The sequence below is a fragment of the Homo sapiens genome, chromosome 12 (assembly GCF_000001405.40).
Source record: "Homo sapiens chromosome 12, GRCh38.p14 Primary Assembly".
Taxonomy (NCBI): Eukaryota; Metazoa; Chordata; class Mammalia; order Primates; family Hominidae; genus Homo; species Homo sapiens.
Genome location: NC_000012.12, coordinates 50,142,390 through 50,170,231, shown reverse-complemented (window position 1 = coordinate 50,170,231; position 27,842 = coordinate 50,142,390). Strand labels below are relative to the sequence as shown.

General features: G+C 44.5%; 1 protein-coding gene and 1 long non-coding RNA gene across 20 annotated transcripts in view, besides 5 other annotated features; one reads left to right on the top strand and one right to left on the bottom strand.

The window, feature by feature from the left end:
• Positions 1,514 to 2,275: an enhancer, noted in NCBI's record as "H3K27ac-H3K4me1 hESC enhancer chr12:50561740-50562501 (GRCh37/hg19 assembly coordinates)". NCBI's record gives its function as "activates a minimal SCP1, AML or CMV promoter by ChIP-STARR-seq in naive H9 embryonic stem cells {active_cell/tissue: H9 hESC(naive)}" and the evidence as "EXISTENCE:reporter gene assay evidence [ECO:0000049][PMID:30033119]".
• Positions 2,327 to 2,486: an enhancer, noted in NCBI's record as "active region_6349". NCBI's record gives its function as "activates an Ori minimal core promoter by ATAC-STARR-seq in GM12878 lymphoblastoid cells {active_cell/tissue: GM12878}" and the evidence as "EXISTENCE:reporter gene assay evidence [ECO:0000049][PMID:35858748]".
• Positions 2,587 to 2,986: a silencer, noted in NCBI's record as "silent region_4448". NCBI's record gives its function as "represses an Ori minimal core promoter by ATAC-STARR-seq in GM12878 lymphoblastoid cells {active_cell/tissue: GM12878}" and the evidence as "EXISTENCE:reporter gene assay evidence [ECO:0000049][PMID:35858748]".
• CERS5 (ceramide synthase 5) overlaps positions 2,863 to 27,842 on the top strand; it is a 38,081-nt gene continuing 13,101 nt past the window's right edge. For 9 of the 18 annotated variants that reach the window (NR_138532.3, NR_104035.3, NR_138533.3 and 6 more), the window contains exons 1-3: positions 2,863 to 3,131; positions 26,175 to 26,280; positions 27,028 to 27,158. Coding sequence is in view for 11 of the 18 variants with exons in the window: in NM_147190.5 (NP_671723.1) it covers positions 2,935 to 3,131; positions 26,175 to 26,280; positions 27,028 to 27,158 (434 nt within the window). In the remaining 7 variants the exon portion in view is untranslated. Of the gene's footprint in view, positions 3,132 to 25,262; positions 25,464 to 25,867; positions 26,030 to 26,174; positions 26,281 to 27,027; positions 27,159 to 27,842 lie in introns of those variants that run through there. The other 9 variants (NR_138536.3, NR_138535.3, NM_001331072.3 and 6 more) reach the window with 4 other exon arrangements.
• Positions 3,087 to 3,236: a silencer, noted in NCBI's record as "silent region_4447". NCBI's record gives its function as "represses an Ori minimal core promoter by ATAC-STARR-seq in GM12878 lymphoblastoid cells {active_cell/tissue: GM12878}" and the evidence as "EXISTENCE:reporter gene assay evidence [ECO:0000049][PMID:35858748]".
• Positions 3,377 to 3,516: an enhancer, noted in NCBI's record as "active region_6348". NCBI's record gives its function as "activates an Ori minimal core promoter by ATAC-STARR-seq in GM12878 lymphoblastoid cells {active_cell/tissue: GM12878}" and the evidence as "EXISTENCE:reporter gene assay evidence [ECO:0000049][PMID:35858748]".
• On the bottom strand, positions 4,609 to 27,032 carry LOC124902931 (uncharacterized). Of its 2 annotated transcripts, none has more exons than XR_007063304.1 (2): positions 26,541 to 27,032; positions 4,609 to 5,206 (listed from the first exon to the last, which is right to left on the bottom strand). It is a non-coding gene; the product is annotated as an uncharacterized LOC124902931 (long non-coding RNA). The 2 variants fall into 2 exon arrangements; XR_007063305.1 differs by lacking the exon at positions 26,541 to 27,032 and adding an exon at positions 5,423 to 5,856.

Sequence of the window (27,842 nt, the reverse complement as noted above, 5' to 3'; positions counted from 1 at the left end):
AAAGTAAAGCTCTCCTTGCTGAGAGATCATTTGTTCCCGTGTTTTTTTGTTTTTGTTTTGTTTTCTTTTCTTTTCTTTTTGCAACACCAAAAACTTCATTCCCAACAGGGATACTGAGACAGGCAGATCACTTGAAGTCAGGAGTTCGAGACCAGCCTGGCCAACATGGTGAAACCCCAGGCTCTATCAAAAAATACAAAAATTAGTCGGGTGTGGTGGCACGTGTCTGTAGTCCCAGCTACTCGGGAGGCTGAGAAGGGAGGATCTCTTGAACCCAGAGGTGGAGGTTGCAGTGAGCAGAAATGGCACCACTGCGCTCCAGCCTGGGTGTGAGACTCCTTCTCACAAAAAAACATGCAAACAAACAAAACAGCCAAATTTAAAGGAGTTTTTTGTTTGTTTGTTTGTTTTGTTTTTTCTTTCCAAGACAAAGTCTCACTCCGTTGCCCAGGATAGAGTGCAGTGGTGCTATCTCAGCTCACTGCAACCTCCGCCTCCTGGGTTCAAGCGATTCTCTTGCCTCAGCTTCCCAAGTAACTGGGACTACAGACACGCACCACCACGCCCAGCTAATTTTTGTATTTTTAGTAGAGACGGAGTTTCACCATGTTAGCCAGGATGGTCTCGATCTCCTGACCTGTGATCCGCCTGCCTCGGCCTCCCAAAGTGCTAGGATTACAGGCGTGAGCCACCGTGCCCAGCCTAAAGGAGTTTGAGCAATGTATGATTCTCAAATTGGGCAGCCCCTGAATCACAGCAGATTCAGAGAGACCCAGCATATCCACAGAGACCCAGCATATTCACGTGGTGGAAGATTTATGGACAGCAAAATGAAAGTGAGGTACAGAAACAACCAGATTGGTTACAGATCAGCGTTTGTCTCATTTGAACGTGGTTGGAACAGTTGGCTACATTTGATTGGCCAAAATTCAGTGATTGGCACTGGTGTGGTCTACGTTCGATTTACACCTCCACTTGTTACAGTTCACAATGTACAGAAAACCTTTAGGCCGAACTTAAATATGTAAGGAGGCAGCTTTAGATTAAACTTGACTTAACACTAGCTACCACTTCTTACCTACATAACTTTGGGCAAGTTGTTTGGCCTCACTGGACCTCAGTTTACTTATCCAGTGGGGATAACAAGATCAACTTTATAGGGTGAAGGAGTGAAATAACCTGTGTAAAATGTTCCATGCAGTGCCTGGCACACAGGAAACCTCATCAAACATTGGCTATTTATTTTGTTTTGCCTTTAGGTCCTTTAGATATACTTTTTTTTTTTTTTTTTTTGAGACGAGTCTCACTTTGTCGCCCAGGCTGGAGTGTAGTGGCGCAATCTGGGCTCACTGCAAGCTCCGCCTCCCGGGTTCACGCCATTCTCCTGCCTGAGCCTCCCAAGTAGCTGGGACTACAGGCGCCCGCCACCATGCCTGGCTAATTTTTTGTATTTTAATAGAGATGGGGTTTCACCGTGTTAGCCAGGATGGTCTCGATCTCCTGACCTCATGATCCGCCCGCCTCGGCCTCCCAAAGTGTTGGGATTACAGGCGTGAGCCGCGCCCGGCCTTTTTTTGTTTGTTTTTGTTTTGAGACGCTCTGTTGCCTAGGCTGGAGGGCAATGGCGTGGTCTCGGCTCACTGTGATCTCCGCCTCAAGCAATTCTCCTGCCTCAGCCTCCCGAGTAGCTAGGATTACAGGCATGCACCACCACACCCGGGTAATTTTTGTATTTTTAGTAGGGACGGGGTTTCACCATGGCCAGCCTGGTCTCGAACTCCTTACCTCAGGTGATTCTTCCGCCTTGGCCTTCCAACGTGCTGGGATTACAGGCGTGAGCCACCACACCCGGCCTGCCTTTACGTATACTTTTTGAGTGCTTCCCTTTTCACTTTGTTTTTCTTCCATTTCCTTTTCCCCAAGAGAAGAATAAAAGGATTTTTGTAAACTTTTTTTATTTTTATTTTGGGACGGAGTCTTTGGTCTGTCGCCCAGGCTGGAGTGCAATGGCGCGATTTCGGCTCACTGCGACCTCCGCCTCCCAGGTTCAAGCGATTCTCCTGTCCCAGCTTTCCGAGTAGCTGGGATTACAGGCACAGCGCCACCAGGCCCAGCTAATTTTTGTATTTTTAGTAGAGACGGGGTTTTGCCATGTTGGCCAGGCTGGTCTCGAACTCCTGACCTCAGGTGATCCGCCAGCCTCGGCCTCTGAAAGTGCTGGGATTACAGGCGTGAGCCACCGCGCCCGGCCTTTTGTAAACTGTTAAGTCCATTTTTTCTGAGGAAAAGTGACTAATTTTTAAGGGATAAAGCAGTGAAAGTAGGCTGAGGTCACGGGGCACGAAGGGAAGAAAAGGTTGGGAGCGAAAAGAACTCTAGTGGCGGACAGTAGTGGGCAGGACCAGCTGACATCCAAGAGAAGCCCTGACCTGAGAGATCGATCTGGCCTCCGGGAGTGGAGACAGAGGTACCGCCTGGGTGGGAGCCGGAACGGATTCGATTCCAACAGGCTGAGAAAGGAGAATGTCCCCGTAAAGGAGCTAGGCCTGAAATAAGGGGTGTGGCCGTAGCTGGATGGAAGAGTGAGGGAGGAGTAGAAGCGTGGCCTAGACCAGCAGCAAAAGAGGGCGGGCCCAGGGCCGCCCGAGGCGTGGTCCCAGGGCCGGGCTGGGCGAGTCAGAGGCTCGGGAAGGGGCGTGGATCCCCGGAGGCGGTCCCCGGGTTGCAGTGAGGGAAGTGGGCCGGGAGGAGAGATGGGCGGTGAAGAGGCCCGGCCCTGCCAGGGAGGCGGGCGGATCCGTGGCAGTGACCAGAAGGGGCCGGAAGGGGGTGGCCGCCGGCCGGGCCCCGCCCTGGGGCCGCCTCCCCGCGGGTTCCGTTGGCTGTGGCGGCAGCTGACGCTTGTGGCGGCGGTGGCTTCGGGGTGGGCGTAAGATGGCGACAGCAGCGCAGGGACCCCTAAGCTTGCTGTGGGGCTGGCTGTGGAGCGAGCGCTTCTGGCTACCCGAGAACGTGAGCTGGGCTGATCTGGAGGGGCCGGCCGACGGCTACGGTTACCCCCGCGGCCGGCACATCCTCTCGGTGTTCCCGCTGGCGGCGGGCATCTTCTTCGTGAGGCTGCTCTTCGAGCGGTGAGAGCCCGGGAGCGAGCGGCTCGGGGGCCGGGCGCGGGCCGGGGGCGCCCCGCTGTGGGAAGGGCCGAGGGCCGGAAGCAGAACTGCAAGGAAAGCCCGGAAGCAGGGGCTGGGGGAGCTTGGGCCGCGGCGGGTGATGCTAGGCGCGTGGGCGAGGTGGTAGCCTAGATGGAGAAGGAGTTTGGGGCGTGGGCAAGAGAAAGAGTGAGGGTCTAGGGGAATGCTGGGCCCCTTCAATGTTAGATCCGGAGTTGGATTGGGGGGGTCATATAGGCCTCCTCCCAACCTCCAAGGGTCCTACAGATGAGGAAACAGGTTCAGTGTGAGCTCTGGCAGAGGCCCCGAAGAGAGGGATAGGAAGGGGCCAGGAGAACCAGAGCTAGTTGTGACCATGGAAGCCGAGGGGTCAACGCAAGGGCCAGACGTTCCAAGGGAAAGGAATGGACTCATCAGACTCTTAAGATTTGTTAGGACGCTTGAGTTTCCGAGAATTGGGGGGAACAGGATTAGTTTGGCCCTAAGAGTTGGTTTGGTATGTCAACTCATGCACGTTTGTTGGTAGGAGGGTAGAAATCTGGTTGGGATAGGGTGTGGTGGAGCCCTAGGCTTCCAAAGTAATGGAAAGATGTCAGATTAGTTGCAGAACAGGCCTTGGGGCCTGAAATGGAAGGAGGAGTGTGTTCGAAGGGATGGAGGAGAGCCACAGGGCTTTATCAGAGGACAGCTATATTGAGCCAGATTCTTTTTTCTTTTCTTTTTTTTTTTTTTTTTTTTGAGACAGAGTTTCGCTCTTGTTGCCCAGGCTGGCGTGCAATGGCACGATCTCGGCTTACCGCGACCTCCGCCTCCCCTGTTGAAGCGATTCTCCTGCCTCAGCCTCCCGAGTAGCTGGAATTACAGGCACGCGCCACCACGCCCGGCTACTTTTTGTATTTTTAGTAGAGACGGGGTTTCGCCATGTTGGCCAGGCTGGTCTGTAACTCCTGACCTCAAGTGATCCGCCCGCCTCTGCCTCCCAAAGTGCTGGGATTACAGGCGTGAGCCACCGCACCCGGCCTTGAGCCAGCTTCTAAATGAGTTTAGCAGAATTGCAGTATACTTTGTTCAACCACATGATTTCACCTTTAAGTGAATGGATCATATGTTTGTCCAAGATAAAGATATTCACTGAGGCTTTGGTGTGTGATATTATAATGTGAATTTATACCTGTGGGTGATTTTGATCAAGTCTACTCAGACTCCAAGAAAGGAGACATGTTTCTGCCATAGGCCTCAGGTAATGAGGGTGGTTCTTGGACATCTGTTCGTTTTGCCTTTATCCAAGCATAAATGATTGTAATGCAGGAATGCCCTTTCTAGGATGGGAATATGTTGCAGGTGAAATAATCTGTTAATTTCTGAAAGATAGCATCTGTTTGGGATTGCTTCTTTGATTTGCCTACTGTTTTTGACTCAAGTCTTTCAAAATCTTGTGTTCTATTTAGCTAGTCACGCATCCATTTATTCGTAGTATTTGTGCATCATCATCATCAAAATGCTCTGCCAGACGTTCAAGTGCAAAAATAAAGATGCTTAAGTGAAGCAAATGAAACCCAAAGATCTAAATGGCTTTCCTTGGCCCTCAGGAACTTAGTGTAGCAAGGTTTTTTTTTTTTTCTTTTTCTTTTTCTTTTTTTTTTGAGACGGAGTCTCGCTCTGTCGCCCAGGCTGGAGTGCAGTGGCGCGATCTCAGCTCACTGCAAGCTCCGCCTCTCGGGTTCACGCCATTCTCCTGCTTCAGTCTCCCGAGTAGCTGAAACTACAGGCGCCCGCCACCATGTCCGGCTAATTTTTTGTATTTTTAGTAGAGACGGGGATTCACCGTCTTAGCCAGGAAGGTCTCGATCTCCTGACCTCGTAATACGCCTGCCTCGGCCTCCCAAAGTGCTGGGATTACAAGCGTGAACCGCCGCGCCCGGCCTTGTTTTGTCTTTTTACGTGTAATCGTTGTAGTTAGTCATCCTGGAGTGGAGGCACAAACTGCTTGTCTGTCTTTGGAATAAACTAGATCCAGGTACTCTCTTCCATAGTCTCTGTATATGAGGGCCAAAAAAAAAAAGGAGGAAGGCAATGTAATCACTACAAAGGAAAATACACAAGTCAGGACAAATTTTTTTTTAAAAGGTGATTTTCATAGAAAAACATCTCTGCTTTTCATATAAATATGTGCCAATATGGAAATTTCCCCATGTTAGTGGTAAGAGGAAATAGTTTTGTTGCTTATAAACACCCATTTTATATAAACTTACGTATCTCTTGAGATTCCAAAGTGTTCCCTCAGATGGCTGAAGACATATATCCCCTGGCAGAGCTGCTGGAAGGGATCCTTTACCTGTGGGAATTCTATCTGAGTGTTTCTATGGTGCTCCAGTGTCAGAGGAGTACAGGTGGATGGGAATACTGAGCTGAAAGCATTCTAGTATGATAATTCTTGGCTAGTAAAGACAGGCACCTTGTTTGTCTCATGTTTGCTCTTAGGAAAGTTTAACCCTAGAAGCACTCTTGCTATTTTGTTTCTTTTAAGACCCATTACCTCAGTAATATAATTCACTGCTGACTTGCCAATTCCTCTTTTACCGTTCTGGTCTTCCATAAAGAAAATAGACCACTCCACTCTTATTGTTGTTTTTGAGACAGGGTCTCAGCCTCACCCAGGCTGGACTGCAGTGGCACGAAGCTCACTCCAGCCTCGACCTCTTTGGCTCAAGCAATCCTCCTACCTCAGCCTCCCAAGTAGCCAGGACCATAGGTGCACACCACTATGCCCAGCTAATTAAAAAAAAAAAAAAAAATTGGGAGAGCGGGGCATGGTGGCTCACACCTGTAATCCCAGCACTTTGGGAGGCCGAGGCAGGGAGATCACTTGAGGCCAGGAGTTCGAGACCAGCCTGGCCAACATGGTGAAACCCCATCTCTACTAAAAATATAAAAATTAGCTGGGCATAGTGGTACATGCCTGTAATCCCAGCTACTCAGGAGGCTGAGGCATGAGAATTGCTTGAGTTGGAGAGGCAGAGGTTGCAGTGAGCCAAGATCACACTGTTGCACTCCAGCCTGGGCTGCAGAGGAAAACTCTGTCTCAAAAAAAAAAAAAAAAATTGTAGAGGCTGGGCATGGTGGCTCATGCCTGTAATCCCAGCACTTTGGGAGGCCGAGGAGGGCAGATCACTTGAGCCTAGGAGTTTGAGACCAGCCTTGGCAACATGGTGAAACCTTGTCTCTACAAAAAAATTTAAAAATTAGCTGGGTGTGATGGTGCATGCCTATAGTCTCTAGTCTCATCTACTTGGGAGGCTGAGGCAGGAGGATTGCTTGAACCCGGGAGGTTGAGACTGCAGTGAGCCGTGATCAAACCACTGTACTTCAGCCTGGGTGATAGAGTGAGACCCTGTCTCAGAAAAATAAATAAAATAAATTTTTGTAGAGGCCTGAGCTCCTGGCCTCAAGCGATCCTGCTGCCTCAGCTTCCCAAAGTTTTGGGATTACTGGCATGAGCCACTGCCCCTGGCCTAGAGCCACTTGTAGAATGCAATAGAAGGCATATCAAAAATATCGGGGCATGGCCTTGCATGCTGGCTCACACCTGTAATCCCAGCACTTTGGGAGGCCGAGGCAGGCAGATCACTTGAGGTCAGGAGTTTGAGACCAGCCTGGCTAACAACATGAAATCTCATCTCTACTAAAAATACAAAAATAGCCCCGCGTAGTGGCGGGCGCCTGTAATCCCAGCTACTTGGGAGGCTGAGGCAGGAGAATGGCTTGAACCTGGAAGGTGGAGGTTGCAGTGAGCTGAGATCGTGCCACTGGACTCCAGCCTGGGCAACAGAGCGACACTCCATCTCAAAAATAAATAAATATTGGGGCCTGGCATGGTGGCTCACACCTGTAATCCCAACACTTTGGAGGCCAAGGTGAGAGAATTGCTTGAGACCAGGACTTTGAGATCAGCCTGGGCAGCATAGCGAGACCCTGATCCTACAAAAAATAAAAATGTTAGCCAGATGTGGTGGCATGCATCTGTAGTCCCAGCTACTCAGGAGGCTGATGCAGGAAGATGGCTTGAGCCCAGGAGTTCAAAGCTGCAATGAACTATGATAGCGCCAGTGCACTCCAGCCTGGGCAAAGGAGTGAGACCCTGTCTCTTAAAGAAAGAGAGGCCAGGCACAGTGGCTCATGCCTGTAATCCCAGCACTTTGGGAGGCTGAGACGGGCGGATCACCTGAGGTCAGGAGTTCGAGACCAACCTGGCTAACATGGTGAAACCCCATCTCTACTAAAAATACAAAAATTAGCTGGGCGTGATGGCATGTGCCTATAATCCCAGCTACTTGGGAGGCTGAGGCAGGAGAATCTCTTGAACCCGGGAGGTGGAGGTTGCAGTGAGCCAAGATCACACCACTGCACTCCAGCTTAGGCAATAGAGCAAGACTCTATCACAAAAAAAAAAAAGAGAGAGAGAGAGATAAAGAGGTATATTGGGACAATTAGTCATCTTTCCTACATTTTCTCTTTTTTTCAGAGCCCAGAATCCTTGCATACATTTTCTCATTCTAAAATCCTACCTATTTAGTTTGTAGAAATGATTTATGTAGTAATCATAGACTGCTAAAAGCTAGAACTCCGGCCTCCTTTTACAGACAGTTACTAAGGCTTAGAAACATCCTTCAGCTTTTCAGAGGTTGCAACATACAACTGGTCTTTTTCCCCAGCCCAGTTCTCTTTCACTGATAGGGCCGTTCATCTTTTCCTATTCCTTAAACCCCCTTTCAAGTGTTAAGATTTAACCTCTTGTTCTAGTATTCTAGTATTTGAAGAACAAATTTATTTCCTGTTACACACTTCATATACATTTAAAAAAAAAAAAAAAAAAAAAAGAACAAATCAGCCAGGCATGGTGGCTCATGCCTGTAATCCCAGCACTTTGGGAGGCCAAGGCAGGTGGATTAACTGAGGTCAGGAGTTCGAGACCGGCCTCGCCAACATGGTGAAACCCTGTCTTTACTAAAAATACAAGAAATTAGCTGGGTGTGGTGGCATGCGCCTTAAGTCCCAGCTACTTGGGAGGCTGAGGCAGGAGAATCGCTTGAACCTAGGAGGCAGAGGTTGCGGTGAGCTGAGATCATGCCACTGCACTCCAGCTTGGGCAACAGAGTGAGACTCTGTCTCAAAAAAAAAAAAAAAAAAAAAAAGAAGAAGAACAAATCTGTATTCATCCTGTTCTTAGTTATTTAACATTATCCTTTTAACTTGAACTTTGCTTTTTTTTTTTTTTTTCTTTTTTTGAGACGGAGTCTCACTCTCTCACCCAGGCTGGAATGCAGTGACTTGATCTCAGCTCATTGCAGCCTCTGCTTCCCAGGTTCAAGCAGTTCTCATGCCTCAGCCTCTTGAGTAGCTAGCAGTACAGGCATACACTACCACAGCCAGCTAATTTTCATATTTTTAGTAGAGACAGGGTTTTGCCATGTTGGCCAGGCCGGTCTTGAACTCCCGGCCTCAAGTGATCCACCTGCCTCGGCCTCCCAAAGTGCTAGGATTACAGGCGTGAGCCACCGCATCTGGCCAACTTTGCTTTGTTTGTTTCATATCATTATTGCATATTTAAATGCATCTTACTCTATGTGCCTAGATACATAGTCTCTATTTGTGTTTCAGGAATCTCCCAAAGAATAAATATAGAGGGTACAATTTGGTCTTACTTTCTCTTCCTTCTCATCAACCACACTGAGCATTTATTAAATATTTTTTAAGTTTCCATATTCCCTATAGAGAACTGTAGCCTCACCTGATGGGGATGACTTGGAAAGCCATCTGACCATAAGTTAAGCATATTTAGCTATTTTGTTAAAGAACTGCAGAAAGGTGATTATTACCCACCAAAGCACAGAGGCTTGCCTTTGTGGGCCTCTGTTGACTGGTTCATTGCAGTGGACTGTACTCTTGCACAGTGCCTCAGTGCAGCATGTGAGTATAATGATTGAGAAGGGTCTATTCTTGTCCACTCAGATGCCCTGAGGAGTAACCCAGAATCTAATTATTCAATCTGAAATAGATATTTGGCTTAAGAGAGGTGAAATTATAATTTCTTTGTTTCTGTTGTTAAATTTCACCATACTATGTTTGCATGTTGTACACTTTTCTACAGCTTCTCTTTCTCCCCTTTCCTCTTACACACACTCAGGCTACCCACTGTTACCTATCAAAAGAGAGATAAGAAAGTCTTCCACTTGTTGCTTCTTTGAATATTGTGTGCTGATTAGGGAAAGAATAGTCCAAGGTGTGGTCCAAGTCCAAGTAGGCCTCTTGGATCTGACTTAAACTGAATCTTAAAGATAAAATTGTTTGAAACTTAGTATTTTGTCCCTTGAGCATATTTTCCCTGGGATCAAGTAGGAGTTTGAGACAATATTGATACCATCAGATCTATATAGGTTCATTTATTTTAAATACGGTACTATAATAGGAGCTTTATGTTGCCAGAAGAAAGTAATTTGGCGAATTATACAGGAGATAGCTGAGAGCTTTCACCGCTGCTTATTCATTATTCCAGTCCCCTCTTCTCTCTTATTACTTCAAGGCAACCTCACTGGGGTGTCTAAAGAGCCTTCTCAATGCCATTCTCTCAGTGGGGATTGAACAGACTCATTCGCTGGCCTGTCATGTAACTGACAACAAGAGTAGTGATTCATTTTCTTGTGCATGTTTCCATTTATTTCCTTTTTTCTTTTCTTTTTTTTTTCTTTTTTTTTTTTTTGAGACAGAGTCTCGCTCTGTTGCCCAGGCTAGAGTGCAGTGGCACAATCTCAGCTTACTGCAACCTCCGCCTCCTGGGTTCAAGCGATTCTCCTGCCTCAGCCTCCTGAGTAGCTAGGACTACAGGTGTGTACCACCACGCCCAGCTAATTTTTGTATTTTTAGTAGAGATGGGGTTTTGCCATGTTGGCCAGACTGGTCTTGAACTCCTGACCTCAGGTGATCTACCCACCTCGGCCTCCCAAAGTGCTGGGATTACAGGTGTGAGCCACCACACCTGGTCTCAATTTTTAATTGATTACATATTGACAGTACTTTTGACATATCAAGTTAAACAAAATACATTGTCAACATTAATTTCACTTGTTTCTTTTTCACTTTTTAAAATGTGGATATTAGAAAATTTTAAATTACAGGCTGGGCACGGTGGCTAATGCCTATAATCCCAGCACTTTGGGAGGCTGAGGTGGGCAGATGACCTGAGGTCAGGAGTTCGAGACCAGCCTGACCAACATGGTGAAACCCCATCACTAAAAATACAAAAATTAGCTGGGTGTGGTGGTAGGCACCTGTAATCCCAGCTACTCAGGAGGCTGAGGCAGGAGAATCGCTTGAACCTGTGAGGTGGAGGTTGCAGCGAGCCAAGATCGCACCATTGCACTCCAGCCTGGGCAACAGAGCGAGACCCTGTCTCAAAAAAGAAAAGAAAATTTTAAATTACATATGTGACTCACATTATATTTCTGTTGGATGGTGATGACAGTAATTCAGACAATATTAATAATAATTGAGAAAATAATTTTAATGTAAATTCACATTTGATACACTTTTTAGGATCAAAAGATGATGCAAAGGTATTAGATGTTCCTTTAAATAATGAATCTAAGACATTTTAGTAAAAATAAGATTTCTAAATGTAAATTATTTTCTGAAATATTCAAATGACTGGTCATATTCTATTTTGAGTAATTTTTTGTTTTTTTGAGACAGAGTCTCGCCCTGTGTCGCCCAGGCTGTAGTGCAGTGGCGGGATCTCGGCTCACTGCAAGCTCTGCCTCCCGGGTTCACACCATTCTCCTGCCTCAGCCTCCTGAGTAGCTGGGATTACAGGCGCCCGCCACCACACCCGGCTAATTTTTTGTATTTTTAATAGAGATGGGGTTTCACCGTGTTAGCCAGGATGGTCTCTATCTCCTGACCTCATGATTCGCCCGCCTCGGCCTCTCAAAGTGCTGGGATTACAGGTGTGAGCCACCGCGCCCGGCCGCTTGAGTAATCTTTGATTGACAGTTGCTTCTAGCCAAGCATTGCTCTATAATTTTGCCTTTTTACATCTATCTTCTCGGTGTTAATGATCTATAAGAAAGTTTGTCAAGTAGGTAAATGTCCATGCAGAACTGCATAGCTCTGATAAGGCATTGAGAATAATCACACTCTTACTATATCTCTTCTGTAAAATACAAGATTTCTTGTAAGGATATTCCTTGTAGTTTTTAGTTTTTGGGTATTGTCAGCATTAGTAAGCAGTCGCAATTACAGGCATAAAGTGTCTCAAACTAGATCAGATTGTTGTGGTTGTGTTTAGGGCAATCTCCAGTTATAGATTGAAATCGGTTAACTTGAATATCTACTGATTCCCCAGAAATCAGTCATCTCCTACACTTGATAAACACCAAACTGGTAGGTTATCTGATGACCCAGGAGGATAAGGCTGAGTTTTAATTTCATCCTTACAAGTGGCACACTTCCATGAAACACTTTGCCTCTTAGTTGAGAATTAAGTTTTCACCCATTTGTTCATCTGTTCATTCTTCAACATCTATTTATTGAAAGCTTAGGATATGTCATATCAAACTATATGTGATGGTTTTAGAAGTTGGACAAGAAAAATGTAAAAATAAATAAAAAGGTATCAAACTATGTGCCAAGGATTAAAAGGTGAATAAACCATGATTTCTACCCTGGAGAGAGCAACAAAATCAGTGGTTATCCCTTATGTGTGTTTGTGTTTCTATTTTAAGCAAATGCATTAAGTTGTATAATTATCCATTGAAAAAAGGTAAATATGTTTAATGAAAGGAACAAGTGGGTTTATCCTACCACTTTGGCCTGAATTCACTTTAGTGTCCTCTCAGTAGAATTCTTCTAGTACATTAGAATGATTGGATTTACAAAAATATACAATCTACATGCATTCCTTGAGAAAAACATCTATTACAGATTTTTTTTTTTTTTTTTTTTTTTTGGTCATGGTCTCACTCTGTCACCTAAGTTGGAGTGCAGTGGCACAATCTGGTATCACTGCAACTTCCACCTCCCTGGCTCAAGCCATCTTGCCACCTCAGCCTCCCAAGAAGCTGGGACTACAGGCATGTGCCACTGTGCCTGGCTAATTTTTGTATTTTTTGTAGGGATGAGGTTTTGCCATGGCTGGTCTTGAACTCCTGAGCTCAAGTGATGCTTCCACCTCGGCCTTCCAAAGTGCTGAGATTACTGGCATGAATCACCATGCCTGGCCTACAGTAGATTATTTTGCTTCTGTCTAGATAGTGTCAATTATTGTTTCAGGTTTGATCTCTTTTTTTTTGGACAATTTCTTTTTTCCTCATCTAATATTCTCCGTTGTATGCCTTTAATGAAGTCAAGGATCTAGGTAAAGTGAATAATGTCAGAAATGTTTGTCAGGTCACAGCTGGAATTTGAAGAGAACCATTTCAGAGATCTTGAATGAACTGCCTTATTTTTGGGGAATGACCTTCAGATTGGGCTCTGTTTATGGACTTGTCTCCCCCATGAAACTGTAGGTATCTAATGCAGTGCTTTGTACATTCATATTAGCTATTCAGTAAGTGTTTATTGAATGAATCACTCTGAAACCTACTTCTGCTTGAGATGTTGCGACTCTAGTACAGTAATTACTGTTTTTTTTTCTAATTTTCCTTCCTAAGAGACGGAATCTTGCTATATTACTGTATCAGTCAGGGTTCTCTAGAGGGACAGAACTAATAGGATGGATATATATATGAAGGGTAGTTTATTAAGTATTAACTCACACTATCACAAGGTCCCACAATAGGCCGTCTGCACACTGAGGAGCAAGGAAAGCCAGTCCAAGTCCCAAAACTGAAGAGCTTGGAGTCCGATGTTTGAGGGGAGGAAGAGTCCAGCACAAGAGAAAGATGTAGGCTGGGAGGCTAGGCCAGTCTAGTCTTTTCACGTTTTTCTGCCTCTTGCCATGCTGGCAGCTGATTAGATGGTGCCCACCCAGATTAAGGGTGGCTCTGCCTTTCCCAGCCCACTGACTCAAATGTTAATCTCCTTTGGCAACACCCTCACAGACATGTGCAGGATGAGTGTTTTGCATTCTTCAATCCAATTAAGTTGATACTCAGTATTAACCATCACAATTACCCAGGCTGGAATTCAGTGGCCATTCACAGGGCTGATGTCACTACAGCCTTGACCTCCTGGCCTCAATCAGTCCACCTGCCTCAGCCTCCATGGTAGCTGGAACTACAGGCCCAGCTACATAATTTCCTTTTTGACTCCTGAGATTCCTATGCTGTACAGCAGTGGGTTCTCAAATCTTTTGCTCAGGACTCCTTTATATTTTAAAAAATTATTGAAGACCCCAAATAGCTTTTGTTTATATGAGTTATATCTATCAATATTTTCTCTATTAAAAACTAATACTGATAAATTTTTTAAGTATGTATTAAGCTTCACTCTGTCAGCCACGCTGGAATGCAATGGCATGATCATGACTCACTACAGCCTCCACCTCTTGGCTCAAACAATCCTCCCACCTCAGCCTCCCAGTAGCTGGGACCAGAGGTGCATGCCACCACACCTGGCTACTAATTGTTTTATATATATATATATATAGTTTGTTTGTTTGTTTTGAGACAGAGTCTTGCTCTGTCACCCAGGCTGGAGTGCAGTGGCGTGATGTTGGCTCACTGCAAGCTCTGCCTCCCAGGTTCACGCCATTCTCCTGCCTTGGCCTCCCCAGCAGCTGGGACTACAGGCGCACGCTGCCACACCCGGCTAATTTTTTTTTGTATTTTTAGTAGAGACGGGGTTTTACCGTGTTAGTCAGGATGGTCTCGATCTCCTGACCTTGTGATCCACCCGCCTCAGCCTCCCAAAGTGCTGGGATTACAGGCGTGAGCCACCACGGCCGGCCTTTTTTTTTTTTTTTTTTTTGAGACAGAATGTCGCTCTGTCGCCCAGGCTGGAGTGCAGTGGCGCGATCTCAGCTCACTGCAACCTCTGCTTCCCAGGTTTAAGCAGTTCTCCTGCCTCAGCCTCCGAGTAGCTGGGACTGCAGGTGTGCCACCACACCCAGCTAATTTTTGTATTTTTAGTAGAGACGGGGTTTCACCATATTGGTCAGGCTGGTCTCAAACTCCTGACCACAGGTGATCCACCCGCCTTGGCCTCCCAAAGTGCTGGGGATTACAGGCGTGAGCCACCATGCCCGGCCACTAATTGTTATATTTTTTGTAGAGACAAGATTTCATCATGTTACCCAGGCTGGGCCTTTTTTTTTTTTTTTTTTTTTTTTTTGAGATGGAGTCTCGCTCTGTCGCCCAGGCTGGAGTGCAGTGGCGCAATCTCGGCTCACTGCAAGCTCTGCCTCCCGGGTTCACGCCATTCTCCTGCCTCAGCCTCCCGAGTAGCTGTGACTACAGGCGCCTGCCACCACGCCTGGCTAATTTTTTTGTATTTTTAGTAGAAATGGGGTTTCACCCTGTTAGCCAGGATGGTCTCGATCTCTTGACCTCGTGATCCACCTGCCTCAGCCTCCCAAAGTGCTGGGATTACAGGCCTGAGTCACCGTGCCTGGCAATTTTTTTTTTTAATGGCCCTCAAAGGAAGCTGCAAAGATCACTTGAGCACAGACCATGCAAGAAATGTTGGGTTTGGTGGTATAGGTATCTTGAAAAGTGCAATACCTTGTATACAAGGAATCCTCTTCTTTTAAGAATTTACTCAGAAGAATACATTGTAACTTTTTGTTCTCAGGGATTGTTTTTCACTTTTAAAAATTACTGAGGACTCCAAGGAGCTTTTGTTTATGTGGGTTACATATACCCATCAACTTTACCATATTTTAAATTAAAATTGAGAAATTTAAGAAATGCTGACCGGGCACGATGGCTCACCCCTATAATCCCAGCACTTTGGGAGGCCTAGGTGGGTGGATCACCTGAGGTCAGGAGTTCAAGACCAGCCTGGCCAACACGGTGAAACCCCGTCTCTACTAAAAATGCAAAAATTAACCAGGCATGGTGGTGCACGCCTATAGTCCCAGCTACTTGGGCAGCTGAGGCAGGAGAATCACTTGAACCTGAGAGCAGAGGTTGCAGTGAGCCAAGATAGCGCCACTGCACTCCAGCCTGGGTGACGGAGCGAAACTCTGTCTCAAAAAGAAATTTAAGAAATGCTTATTAATTCATTAAAAATAACAACAGGCCAGGTGCAGGGGTTCACACTTGTAATCCCAGCACTTAGGGAGGCAGAGACAGGAGGATAGCTTGAGCTCAGGAGCTCAAGACCTGTGTGGGTAACATAGCAAGACCTCGTTCTCCACAAAAAGGGAGAAAATAGACAAAAAATAATAATAAATTGATTTACATGTTAACATAAATAAGCTTTTTGAAAAATATTATTTTCCAAAAGAAAAAATAGAAGAACAGCATTGATTTTACATTTTTGCAAATCTCTTTAATATCTGGCTTAATAGAAGACAGCTGGATTATCCTAGCAGCTTCTGCATTCAATCTCTTGTGATACATTGTTTTGATTGAAGTATATGAAGAAAAGATGGCCTCACACAGCTTTGTCATTGAAAAGCAGGAAGTATTTTAATAGCCCTTTCAAATAATTTGATATTTATCTTTGATACTACACCAAAACACAAGTAGCAGTTTTTTGTTTTGTTTTGTCTTGTTTTGAGACGGAGTCTTGCTCTGTTCCCAGGCTGGAGTGTAGTGGCGCGATCTCACTGCAACCTTCGACTCCCTGGTTCAAGCGATTCTCCTGCCTCAGCCTCCCGAGTAGCTAGGATTACAGGCATGTGCCACCGCACCCAGCTAAGTTTTGCATTTTTAGTAGAGATGGGGTTTCACCATGTTGGCCAGGATGGTCTAGATCTCTTGACCTCGTGATCTGCCTGCCTCGGCCTCCCAAAGTGCTGGGATTACAGGCGTGCCACGCCCAGCCACAAGTAGCAGTTTCTTAAACGTTGATTCCTAGGTAGAATCTGAAGCCATATTAATGAGCTTTTCATTTTATTATGTTAAAATCCATTGTTCTATGTTCATTGTGTTTTGTTGTTGTTGTTTTGAGGTGGTGTTTTGCTCTTGTCGCCCAGGCTGGAGTCCAATGGTGCAGTCACAGCTCACTGCAACCTCTGCCTCCCAGGTTCAAATGATTCTCCTGCCTCAGCCTTCCAAGTAGCTGGGATTATGGGTATGCGCCATCACGCCCAGTTAATTTTGTATTTTTAGTGGAGATGGGGTTTCACCATATTGGCCAGGCTGGTCTCAAACTCCTGACCTCAGGTGATCCGCCTGCCTCAGCCTCCCAAAGTGCTGGGATTATAGGCGTGAGCCACCATGCCTGGCCTATATTACAGTTTGAATGGACATCATGTATCCATCATTTGGAAAATACTGGTTCATTCAGTTATGCAAATGTCCCACATGTCAATATGTGACATTATACAATATTTTAAAATCTTGCCTGTAATCCCAGCACTTTGGGAGGCCGAGGTGGGCGCATCACAAGGTCAAGAGATTGAGAGCATCCTGGCCAACATGGTGAAACCCCGTCTCTACTAAAAATACAAAAATTAGCTGGACGTGGTGGTGCATGCCTCTAGTCCCAGCTACTCGGGAGGCTGAGGCAGGAGAATCGCTTGAACCCAGGAGGCAGAGGTTGCAGTGAGCCAAGATCATGCCACGGGACTCCAGCCTGGCAACAGAGTGAGACTCCGTCTCAGAAAAAAAAAAAAAAAAAAAAAAAAAAATCATATTAGTTTATCTCATTATAACCAATCTCATCAGAAAAGTCTTAAGTATTGAGAAGTTGTCAGGCTGAAAGGCAGGTAAAAGTTTTCTAAACATTCTAAGTTTCACTTGAAAGCTTGAATTTTATCATTGGCAACAATGCTTTTCTTGAAATGACGGGCTCACTTATTATAGTTATTACTATTATTATTATTATTTTGAGACAAAGTCTTGCTCTGTCGCCCAGGCTGGAGTGCAGTGGCAGGATCTCAGCTCACTACAACCTCTGCCTTCTGGGTTCAAGCAATTCTCCTGCCTCAGCCTCCCGAGTAGCTGGGATTACAGGCGGCCGCCACCACGCCTGGCTAATATTTATATTTTTAGTAGAGATGGGGTTTTACTGTGTTGGCCAGGCTGGTCTCAAACTCCTGACCTCAGGTGATCCGCCCGCCTCCGCCTCCCAAAGTGCTGGGATTACAGGCATGAGCCACTGCGTCTGGCCTCATTTATTTTTGAGAAAGTTTTTGCTAAATACTCAGAGCTGACTAACGTTAGTCTGTCAGTCCTTTCAGGTAAAAGTGGTATTCTATGGAAAAAGCGACTTAGTTTATTCAGCTTGCAGTAGTCATACAAATGGTTTTCCTTGGGAGCCATATACTTTGGTATGCATCAGAAGTGCTTTTTGGGTACATCCATTTTATCACAGAATAAGTGGAGACTGGGTTTCACCATGTTGGCCAGGGTGGTCTCGAACTCCTGACCTCAAGTGATCCGCTTGCCTCAGCCTCCTAAAGTGCTGGGATTACAGGCATAAGCCACTGTGCCCAATCACAGAATACTTTTAAAAAATATATTCAAGGGTCAAGATTTAATAAAAGTAATAATTTGTAGTGCTTCATCAAGGACATTCTTAAGCAAAACTGGCATGTTTTAAAAATTGAGAAGACCTAGCTCTACAGTATAGTAACTACTAGTATGGTTTGGTGTCACTACCTTGATTTGGTCTAAAGTACCATAATGTTTTACCTACCATTGATTTGCACAATCACTGCAAATGTCAACACAGTGAAAAAGGCAAATAATAATATTGTTATGAAAATAGTTTAGTTTGTAGAGCCCCTGAGAGTGCCTCAGGAACCCTCAGGGATCTGCAGTCCATACCTTGAGACCCTCTACCATAACTGAATGAGGTTACTGAGGGTGAGCGTGTAGAGTACGAAAAGAACCTCTAAGTGAACCCTGAGGAAACACCATGTTTCAGGAAAAGGCAGAGGAAAAATAAACTGCAAAGGAGATAGAGGAATGACAGCCATACGTTATTTGATAATATTAGTAGTTGGTATAGGCCGCGCACGGCGACTCACGCCTGTAATCCCAACACTTTGGGAGGCCGAGGTGGGTGAATCCACTAGAGGCCAGGAGTTCGGGACCAGCCTGGCCAGCATGGTGAAACCCGTGTCTACTAAAAATACAAAAGTTAGCCAGGTGTGGTGGTGGGCACTTGTAATCCCAGCTACTCGGGAGGCTGAGGCAGAATCGAACCTGGGAGGTGGAGGTTGCAGTGAGCCAAGATTGTGCCATTGCACTCCAGCCCAGGTGACAGAGGGAGACTCCATCTCAAAGTGGGTGTTTAATAAGTGTTTACTTTGTCCTAGGCATTGTTCTAAGTGCTAAGCTTGAATCCTCTTTAGTAAGTTTATGAGGTAGGTAGGCATTACTGTTATCCTCATTTTACAGATGAGAGAACTGAAGCACAGAGGAACTTGTCCAAGGTGACTCAACTAGCAGTGCTTACCAGGCAGTCTAGTTCCACTGCCAAAGAGGTAGAGGGAGAAGACTAGGAAGAGTGGCAGTAAGGAAGAGAAAAGGGCATTTCAAGAAGGAGATTAGTCATTAATGTATTTGGTTGGTGCAAAAGTAATTGTGGTTTTTGCCATTAAAAGTAATGGGAATTACTTTTGCACCAACCTAATAAAATGCTGCTGAAAGGTCAAGTAAGATAAAGGACTGAAAAGCATCCATTTGTTTTCACAATATGGAGATCATTGACAACTTTGGCAAGAACAGCTTCAGTGGAGTGTAGGGACAGAAGCCAGAGGGGAGAGAAAGGAGAGTTGAGGAATGTGTGGGAGTTTAGTTGTGAGTTTGGGGAAGGCCAGAGGGTGCTAGGGACCGGGAGGGCTGTTTTAAGATGTGAAAAACTTGAGCATGTTTAAGATCTGATGAGAAGAACAAAGTTGAGAGTGAGGCTGAAGATAATAGAAGGAAGGAGGGATAAGTAGAATGAAATTTCTGATCAGTAAAGAGTGGGTCTAAAGCACAGGGAGATTGGTTTTAGATGTGATTAGTTTAGATTGAGTGATTCTGATGCCAAAGTTGAGGACATTCCATTTTCTTCTTAGCCTAAATGCTTGAGGGTTTGGCTATTTCTACTTCTTTCCTCCTATATCTTTAACTGCTTTAACTCACTGCTGTGTTTTAGAGTCTTTATTTTACTGGAATTTCTTTGGTGAAGGTTACTACAGATCTCCAAAAATTGCCAAATGTAGTAGATACTGAAGTCCTTGTCTTGGTCTTTCCCTTATTTGATACAACTCCACCTCTGACCTTCCTGTCCCCTAAATTCACCTTTTATGCTGATGTTGTCCAGCGTTCTGACCTCAGTTCTCTTTTAAGTTTATATTCCTTTCATATGTAATCACAGCCACCCCCACAAATTTAGCTATCACTTACATTCTCATTCATTTGTATTCGTATATTCTGTTCTTTCTCTCTATATATATATCATACCCAAGCCCCTTTTCCAAGTGTATTTGCATGCTAGACAGTTCCATTTCAGTGTCCCATGGGTACTTCAGATTCAGCATACACAAAACTCAACTCATCTTTCACTCCCAAACTTTTTTTTATTTCATTATTTTATGTTTTGGAGATGGCGTCTCACTCTGTCACCCAGGCTGGAGTGTAGTGGCACAATCAGGGCTCACTGCAGCCTCCACCTCCTGGGCTCAAGCAGTCCTCCTGCCTCAGCCTCCGCAGTAGCTGGGACCATGGGCACATGCCACCACATCCAGCTAATTTTTAAAATTTTTTGTAGAGACGGGGTCTCACCATGTTGCCCAGACTGGTCTTAAACTCCTGTTCTTTTTATATGTCTACTTTGGCACTTTATATTTTTCCAGAAATTGATCTAAGCTGGTACTTCTCAATCTGGAAATATTGCTGCACACATAAAAAATAACATTTGTGGCTGAGTATGCTGGCTCACGCCTGTAATCCCAGCACTTTGGGAGGCGAGGCAGGCAGATCACTTGAGGTCAGGAGCTCAAGACCAGCCTGGCCAATGTGGTGAAACCCCGTCTCTACTAAAAATACAAAAATTAGCTGGGCATGGTGGTGCACGCCTGTAGTCCCAGCTACTACTTGGGAGGCTGAGGCACAAGAATTACTTGAACCTGGGAGGCGGAGGTTGCAGTGAGCCCAGATCACGCCACCACACTTCACTTCAGCCTAGGCATCAGAGCGAGACTCTGTCTCTAAATAAATACATAAATAACATTTGCATTATACAGTAAGGTATATGAGGCCAGAGACTACAGACTAAAGGTTTCTGGCTACCCGAAGGCCCCATGGATCACCCTGAGAGCTAAAATCAATATCTCAGCATAAGTATAGCCCATTTGTGTTACTTGCCACAATAGTTGAGAAGCTTAATCTAGACTTTGGTTTTATTTGTGTATAATTCATATTCATCAGTGGTGTAATGAATCACAAAAGTAGCATTGTGAATATACATCCTGTCTTTGATAGGAAAAAGCGAAAGCACTAGGTAATTTCATCCTAATTAACCCAGGCTTAGGTCAACTGCTGCTATGTATCTGGAGAGCAGGAAAAGGGCAGAGTGAAATGATCTCTACAAAGCAGGACAAATCTAATACTGTCAGGATGGGTCACTAGACTCGTGTTCCTGGAGTTACAGGTGGAAAGTAGTAGCTTCTTTTTATAGACCACTAAATGCCTACTTACTAAAATCTGCCAGGAAAGGAAAAATCTTGTCTGACAAATTATTTTAAAATGTGGATTGATCCTGGAGAAGACAGAAAGCCACACTAAAAGTATAATTTGTCAGTATCATCTAGCACAGCAGTTTTCAAACTATGATCTCAGGACTCCTTTACAATCTTAAAAAATTTTCAAGGATCCCAAAGAGTTTTTGTTTATGTGGATAGTACCTATCAATGTCTACTGTTTTAGAAAAAAAATGGGGAAAATGTACATGTTTTCTACATGTATTTATACATGTATAAAATGTCTACACGCACACACACACACACACACACACATATATATATATATATATATTTTTTTTTTTTTTTTTTTTTTTTGAGATGGAGTCTCGCTCCGTCACCCCAACTGGAGTGCAGTAGCGCAATCTTGGCTCACTGCAACCTTCGCTTCCCGGGTTCAAGCAATTCTCCTGCCTTAGCCACCTGAGTAGTTGGGAATACAGGTGTGCACGACCATGCCCGGCTAATTTTTTGTTGTTGTATTTTTAGTAGAAGATGGCATTTCGCCATGTTGGCCAGGCTGGTTTCAAACTCCTGACCTCAAGTGATCAGCCTGCCTCAACCTCCCAAAGTGCCGGTATTACAAGTCTGAGTCACCACGCCCGGCCTATTTATTTATTTATTATTGAGACAGAGTCTGCTTTGTCGCCCAGACTGGAGTGCAGTGGTGAGATCTCAGCTCACTGCAACCTCTGTCTCCCGAGTTCAAGAGATCCTCTCACCTCAGCCTCCTGAGCAGCTGGGACTACAGGTATGTGCCGCCATGCCTGGCTAATTTTTGTATTTTTTGGTAGAGATGGGGTTTCACCATGTTGGCCAGCCTGGTCTTGAACTCCTGAGCTCAAGCAGTCTGCCCACCTCAGACTCCCGAAGTGCTGGGATTACAGGCATGAGCCACCGCATACAGCCTATTTATTTTTGAGACAGGATCTGGCTCTATCACACAGGCTGAAGTGCAGTGGCGCAATCACAGCCCACTGCAGCCTCGACCTCCCAGGCTCAAGTGATCCTCCCACCTCAACCTCCCAAGTTGCTGGGACCACAGGCATGAGCTACCACACCTGTCTAACTTTTGTGTTTTGGGGAGAGACAGGGTTTCACCACGTTTCCCAGGCTGGTCTCAAACTCCTGGGCTCAAGTGATCCACCTGTCTCAGTCTCCCAAAGTGCTAGGATAACAGGCATTAGCCACCGTGCCCAGCCCATATTTATTCATTTAAAAATAGCAATGGCCTGGGAAACATGGTGAAACCCTGTCTCTACAAAAAAAAAAATTTTTTAATTAGCTGGGCATGGCCAACACCTGTAGTCCCAGCTACTTGAGAGGCTGAGGTGGGAGGATCACTTGAGCTTAGGAAGTCAAGGCTGCAGTGAGCAGTGATCACACCACTGCACTCCAGCCTGGGTGGCAGAGTGAGACCCTGTCTCAATATAAATAAATAACAATGAACTCATTACGTTTTATGAAAAATAACTATTTTCCAAAACAAAAAACTGTGAGAAGAGTAGCATTTTAACATTTTTGAAAATATCTGGCAGCTGTAGTCTCATGTCAGCGTCTGCATTCAGTCTGTTGTTATATGTCATGTAACTTATGGAAAGTTCCACTGTACTCTCATGAGAGAGAATAGATTTTTATGAAATTATAGAATTATTCTGAAGATAGTTTTGACCTTGTAGACCTACTGAAAGGGTCTCTGGATCCCCCAGGGGTCTCTAAACCACACTTTGAGAAATGCTGATGTAGCAGAAATGATGAATGCCAGGCTCTGGAAATTGACCACCCTAGGTACCTATTTTTTTTTTTTTTTTTTTTGGAGATGGAGTCTCGCTCTGTTACCCAGGCCAGAGAGAGTGCAATGGCGTGATCTCAGCTCATTGTAATTTCCGCCTCCTGGGTAAAAGCAATTCTCCTGCTTCAGCCTCCTGAGTAGCTGGGGTTACAGGCACACACCACCACGCCTGTCTAACTTTTTGTATTTTTAGTAGAGATGGGGTTTCACCATGTTGGATAGGCTGGTCTCGAACTCCTGACCTCGTGATCCGCCCGCCTCAGCCTCCCAAAGTGCTGGGATTACAGGCATGAGCCACCGCGCCTGGCCTAGATACCTGTTTTATAAGTTATACCAAATACCAACCTTTTGTATGATGTAGAATTAATACTTTCTCAAAAGCTATAATTTCAAATAATTTCACTTTCTTCAGTAAGGTAATTCATTAACTGTGTATAACTAAATCTATATATTTAATTTTTATCACAAATTAGAAAAGATTATTTTCCAATCACATCTGGAAAATATAATAAAGCTTCATTCTGTAGCACAAAATAAACAATCAACAAGTATTTGTCAAATGTTCTTTTTTTTTTTTTTTTTTTGAGACGGAGTCTCACTTTGTCGCCCAGGCTGGAGTGCAGTGGCGCGATCTCGGCTCACTGCAAGCTCCGCCTCCCGGGTTCATGCCATTCTCCCGCCTCAGTCTCCCGAGTAGCTGGGATTACAGGCGCCCGCCACCACGCCCGGCTAATTTTTTGTATTTTTAGTAGAGACGGGGTTTCACCGTGGTCTCGATCTCCTGACCTCGTGATCCGCCCACCTCGGCCTCCCAAAGTGCTGGGATTACAAGCGTGAGCCACTGCGCCCGGCTGTCAAATGTTCTTACGCTCCATATAGCTGGAACTGACTGGATATGAGTAGCTTTATGCTTTTCACCGAACTCTGAACTAACGAGGGCAGGATGTGAGCTAATGACAATTCTAGATTGTTAAGTCCACTCCATGATCCAGATAATAGTAATTTTAAAATTGGCTTCACCGAGGTGAGCAGAATATAGACCTGTTATATCAAAGAGTATTTCTTGCTTCTCACTTTCTGCTGGAGGTACCAGAGAGTACCCAGACTGAAATATGTTTCTAGTGAAATAATAATAGCTACTCTTTAATGAATGTTTGCTAAGTGTCAGGTATTGGTGTAGGCATACATTGTTTCATTTTATCTTTAAAATAACCCTGTGAGGTAGATATTATCTCCATTCTATGGGTATGTAACAGTCACAAGGTCTTTCAGCTGGTAAAATCTGTCTAACTGCAGATCTGAGTTTTAATCAGCTGACTGCCTCTGGATTAAAGAAGCCTGGGTTAGGGGTAAGAGTAGGAATTGGAAAGGCTGTTTTCTGCCTTTGGATTTTCATGCAATTATGTCGATAGGAGAAAGGAGGAGACAGGGTTTTTAGATGATTTTTATCTCTGATATGGCATCAACTCAACAACAAAGAATGACGGCCTCATTTACTCTTCTGAATGCTGATTAATTTTGGGTCAGAATTGACCTCCAATACAACAAGAGTGGGTTTCACTAAAACATGTTGCTTGTCAGTTACTGAGCAACTGCTGAGCATAGTACCTTGGTAAATATAAAAGCAGTCTATTTGTGTTTACAAGGAGTTTAAACATGAGTTGGGGGTTAAATATTATTGGTATACAGAATAGTATACCAGTAAATGTAAATTAAGGTATCCACTGGCATTGGCCTTTGAATGGAACTATTTTTTTTTTCCCCCCCACCGGTGTAAAAGAGAATGTGTTACAGATGTGGCTAAATTTATGCTCTGAATAAATATTACTCTATGGCTCAGGAACTTTGGTGATAAGGTAAAAAGTTTTCATAGAGGGAGATAAAGTTTCTTATTCTCAATCCCTCCTTTAGAGATAATATATTCTAGGTTCAAATGCAGCTCAAGAAAATAGGTTAACGGCACTCCATTTTACACCTCCCAGTCATATTTTCATTATGGGACTCCTTAAGATGCTAAGGGCTAAAACTGGTTTTGACTTATCCTGAAAGTGGCAATATAGAGTTTTCCTAGTGCTGATGTTCTTAAAAATCTCTGATTACGGGGGAGAGTGAGATCTTTCTTGAAGAACCAAGGAATAGTTCCTCAATTTTCAAAGATTCAAAAGTTGGAAATTAATTATAATCAATCAATGATAACATCATAGAATCTTAGATATACAAAAAAATCTTAGAAATCATCTCATATAACCTCTTTTTATTTTTTATTCTTCTTCTTTTTTTTTTTTTTTTTTTTGAGACGGATTCTCACACTGTCGCCTGGGCTGGAGTGCAGTGGCACAATCTCGGCTCACTGCAACCTCCGCCTCCAGGGTTCAAGCAATTCTCCTGCCTCAGCCTCCCAAGTAGCTGGGATTACAGGCGCCCACCACCACGCCCAGATAATTTTTTTTTGTATTTTTAGTAGAGACGGGGTTTCACTATGTTGACCAGGCTGGTCTCCAACTCCTGACCTTGTGATCCTCCTGCCTCAGCCTCCCAAAGTGCTGGGATTACAGGCGTGAGCCACCACGCCCGGCTTTTTTATTCTTTTTAAAAATTTAAATCCTTGGGACTCTGCTTGATATAACCTCTTCTTTTAGATGATGAAACCAAGACCCAAGAGGTAAGTGATTTTACCAAGTTTATATGCCTTATTAGTAGATCTGAGACTACGATAGAGTGCTAATAGGTGATTTCCTTCTCACCTTTCCTAGCTTCCTGATTTCTTTCTTCTCGACTCCTGAAAGATCTAAGTATTTCCATAATCTCTTGGTTAGGCAGGAAGGTATCCAAGATCCAGGATATCTATATGCAGGAAGAGCTTAGTCTCAGTTCTACTTTTCCCTCCAATTAAGATCTTGGTCTTTTGATGTAAGGAAACTGCCATTTATTAATCACCTCCTTTGTGCCAGGGTCTTTCATATACATTATCTCACTGAATTACTTACAAGATTCTTATGAAGTAGATTAGTGGTTCTCACATTTTAATGGACATGTGAATCACCTGGGGATCTTGTTAAAATGCAGATTCTGATTTTGCAAGTCTGAGATGGGCTCAAGATTATGCATCTCTAAAAAGCTTCCAGCCAGCACAGTGGCCCACGCCTGTAATCCCAGCATTTTGGGAGACTGAGGCTGGTGAACATTGTCACCCTAAAGAAGTGATAAATGTTGAAAGTGATGGATATGGTAATTACCCCAGTTTCATCATTATACTATGTATACATGCATTGAAACATCACATTGTACCCCATAAATATGTACAATTATTATGTGTCAACTATAAATAAAATTTTTTTAAAAAGAATTGGCCCGTGGGTTTTCTCCATTACAGATTTATTGCCAAACCCTGTGCACTCTGTATTGGCATCGAGGACAGTGGTCCTTATCAGGCCCAACCCAATGCCATCCTTGAAAAGGTGTTCATATCTATTACCAAGGTAAGTGGGCAAAGAAACAGAGAGGAATATTCACATAAGGCGTTGCTCCATGGGGCAGGGGAGGATAGAGAGCACGTACCTCTAAGGGTAAGGATAGGATGGGATGGTCCTTCATATTTGAGTAGTCCATGTAGCTATATGGAGAGCTTTATCCCCTCAGGGAAAACCTTTGGGCCCTACGTATGTCAAGTTTACGTACGTAGTAGGTTTGAGTTTTAGGCCCAGCAGCCACCCTTACCCCTCTTTCCCCAGACACATACCATATCTGGTTTTTGTTTTTCCTTGTTCCAGTTTCTGTCACTGCCTAGTTGTGTGATCGAGATGGAGACAGTACTGATAGCCTTTGCAGTTTGGGTTTTTTGTTTTTTGGAGAGACAAGGTTTTGCCATGTTGCCCAGGCTGGTCTCGGACTCCTGGGCTCAAGCCATCCTTCGGCCCTCAGCCTTCAAAAATCCCAGGATTACAGGCATGAGCCACCATGCCTGGCCTGCAATTTGGGTTTTTAATATCCTTTTTTACTCAGCTTGGGCTGGAGGAAGAGACAAAAGGATATGTATAGGTGAGCAGTACAGGTCCTTGATATGTAAGATAAAATTTCTTACTAAAAATGACTTTGGGATAAAACTTGGAAAGATAAACATCACTTGAGCCACTTATGGCTATCATACCTTGTCGCTCAGCTAGTCAATGGGATTGAAGGAGGGGTATGAGGAGACGGGTGTTCTGACTCTGGTTATACATTCACAGTATCCTGATAAGAAAAGGCTGGAGGGCCTGTCAAAGCAGCTGGATTGGAATGTCCGAAAAATCCAATGCTGGTTTCGCCATCGGAGGAATCAGGACAAGCCCCCAACGCTTACTAAATTCTGTGAAAGCATGTAAGTACGCAAGGAGGGAGGGAGGGAATAAGGAAGACGGTGGGATACAACTGGACTGAAGTTTCTGTTTTGAACATCACTTCTGTTGTTAGGACAACAGTTAATGGATATAGAGAACTAACTCAGCCTATTATAGGTAGGAAAGAAGGGAACTGGAACACTGATTCCCTTAAGTTTCTTGGGCATGTTGCCACTAAGCTAGGTGTGGTTCTATTTTGTTCCCTTTTCCTAAATAGATTGGGAGTAAATCCTTATAACTGTACTTATGTAAGTAGATGTACTAACACATGTATACCTTAATAGAGGGAGTACTAGCTTGCTTGCTATAAGTTGACAATTTTTAGGAAGCATTCCTTTTCTGGGAAATACTATTTTTCATTTTATTGAGCTTTTTCTCATTATCCTGTCTGTGAGCACTGTATTAGTAATTGTCATGTAAAGAAAAATGCTAGGGAGTCTGATGATACAGCCTAATATTTTCCTAATGAAAGATGACGCTGCTTTGGCTTTTTTTTTTTTTTTTTTGAGACGGAGTCTTGCTCTGTCACCAGACTGGAGTGTAGTGGCACAGTCTCTGCTCACTGCAACCTCCGCCTCCCATGTCCAAGCGATTCTCCTGCCTCAGCCTCCTGAGTAGCTGGGACTACAGGTGCACGCCACCATGCCCAGCTAATTTTTGTATTC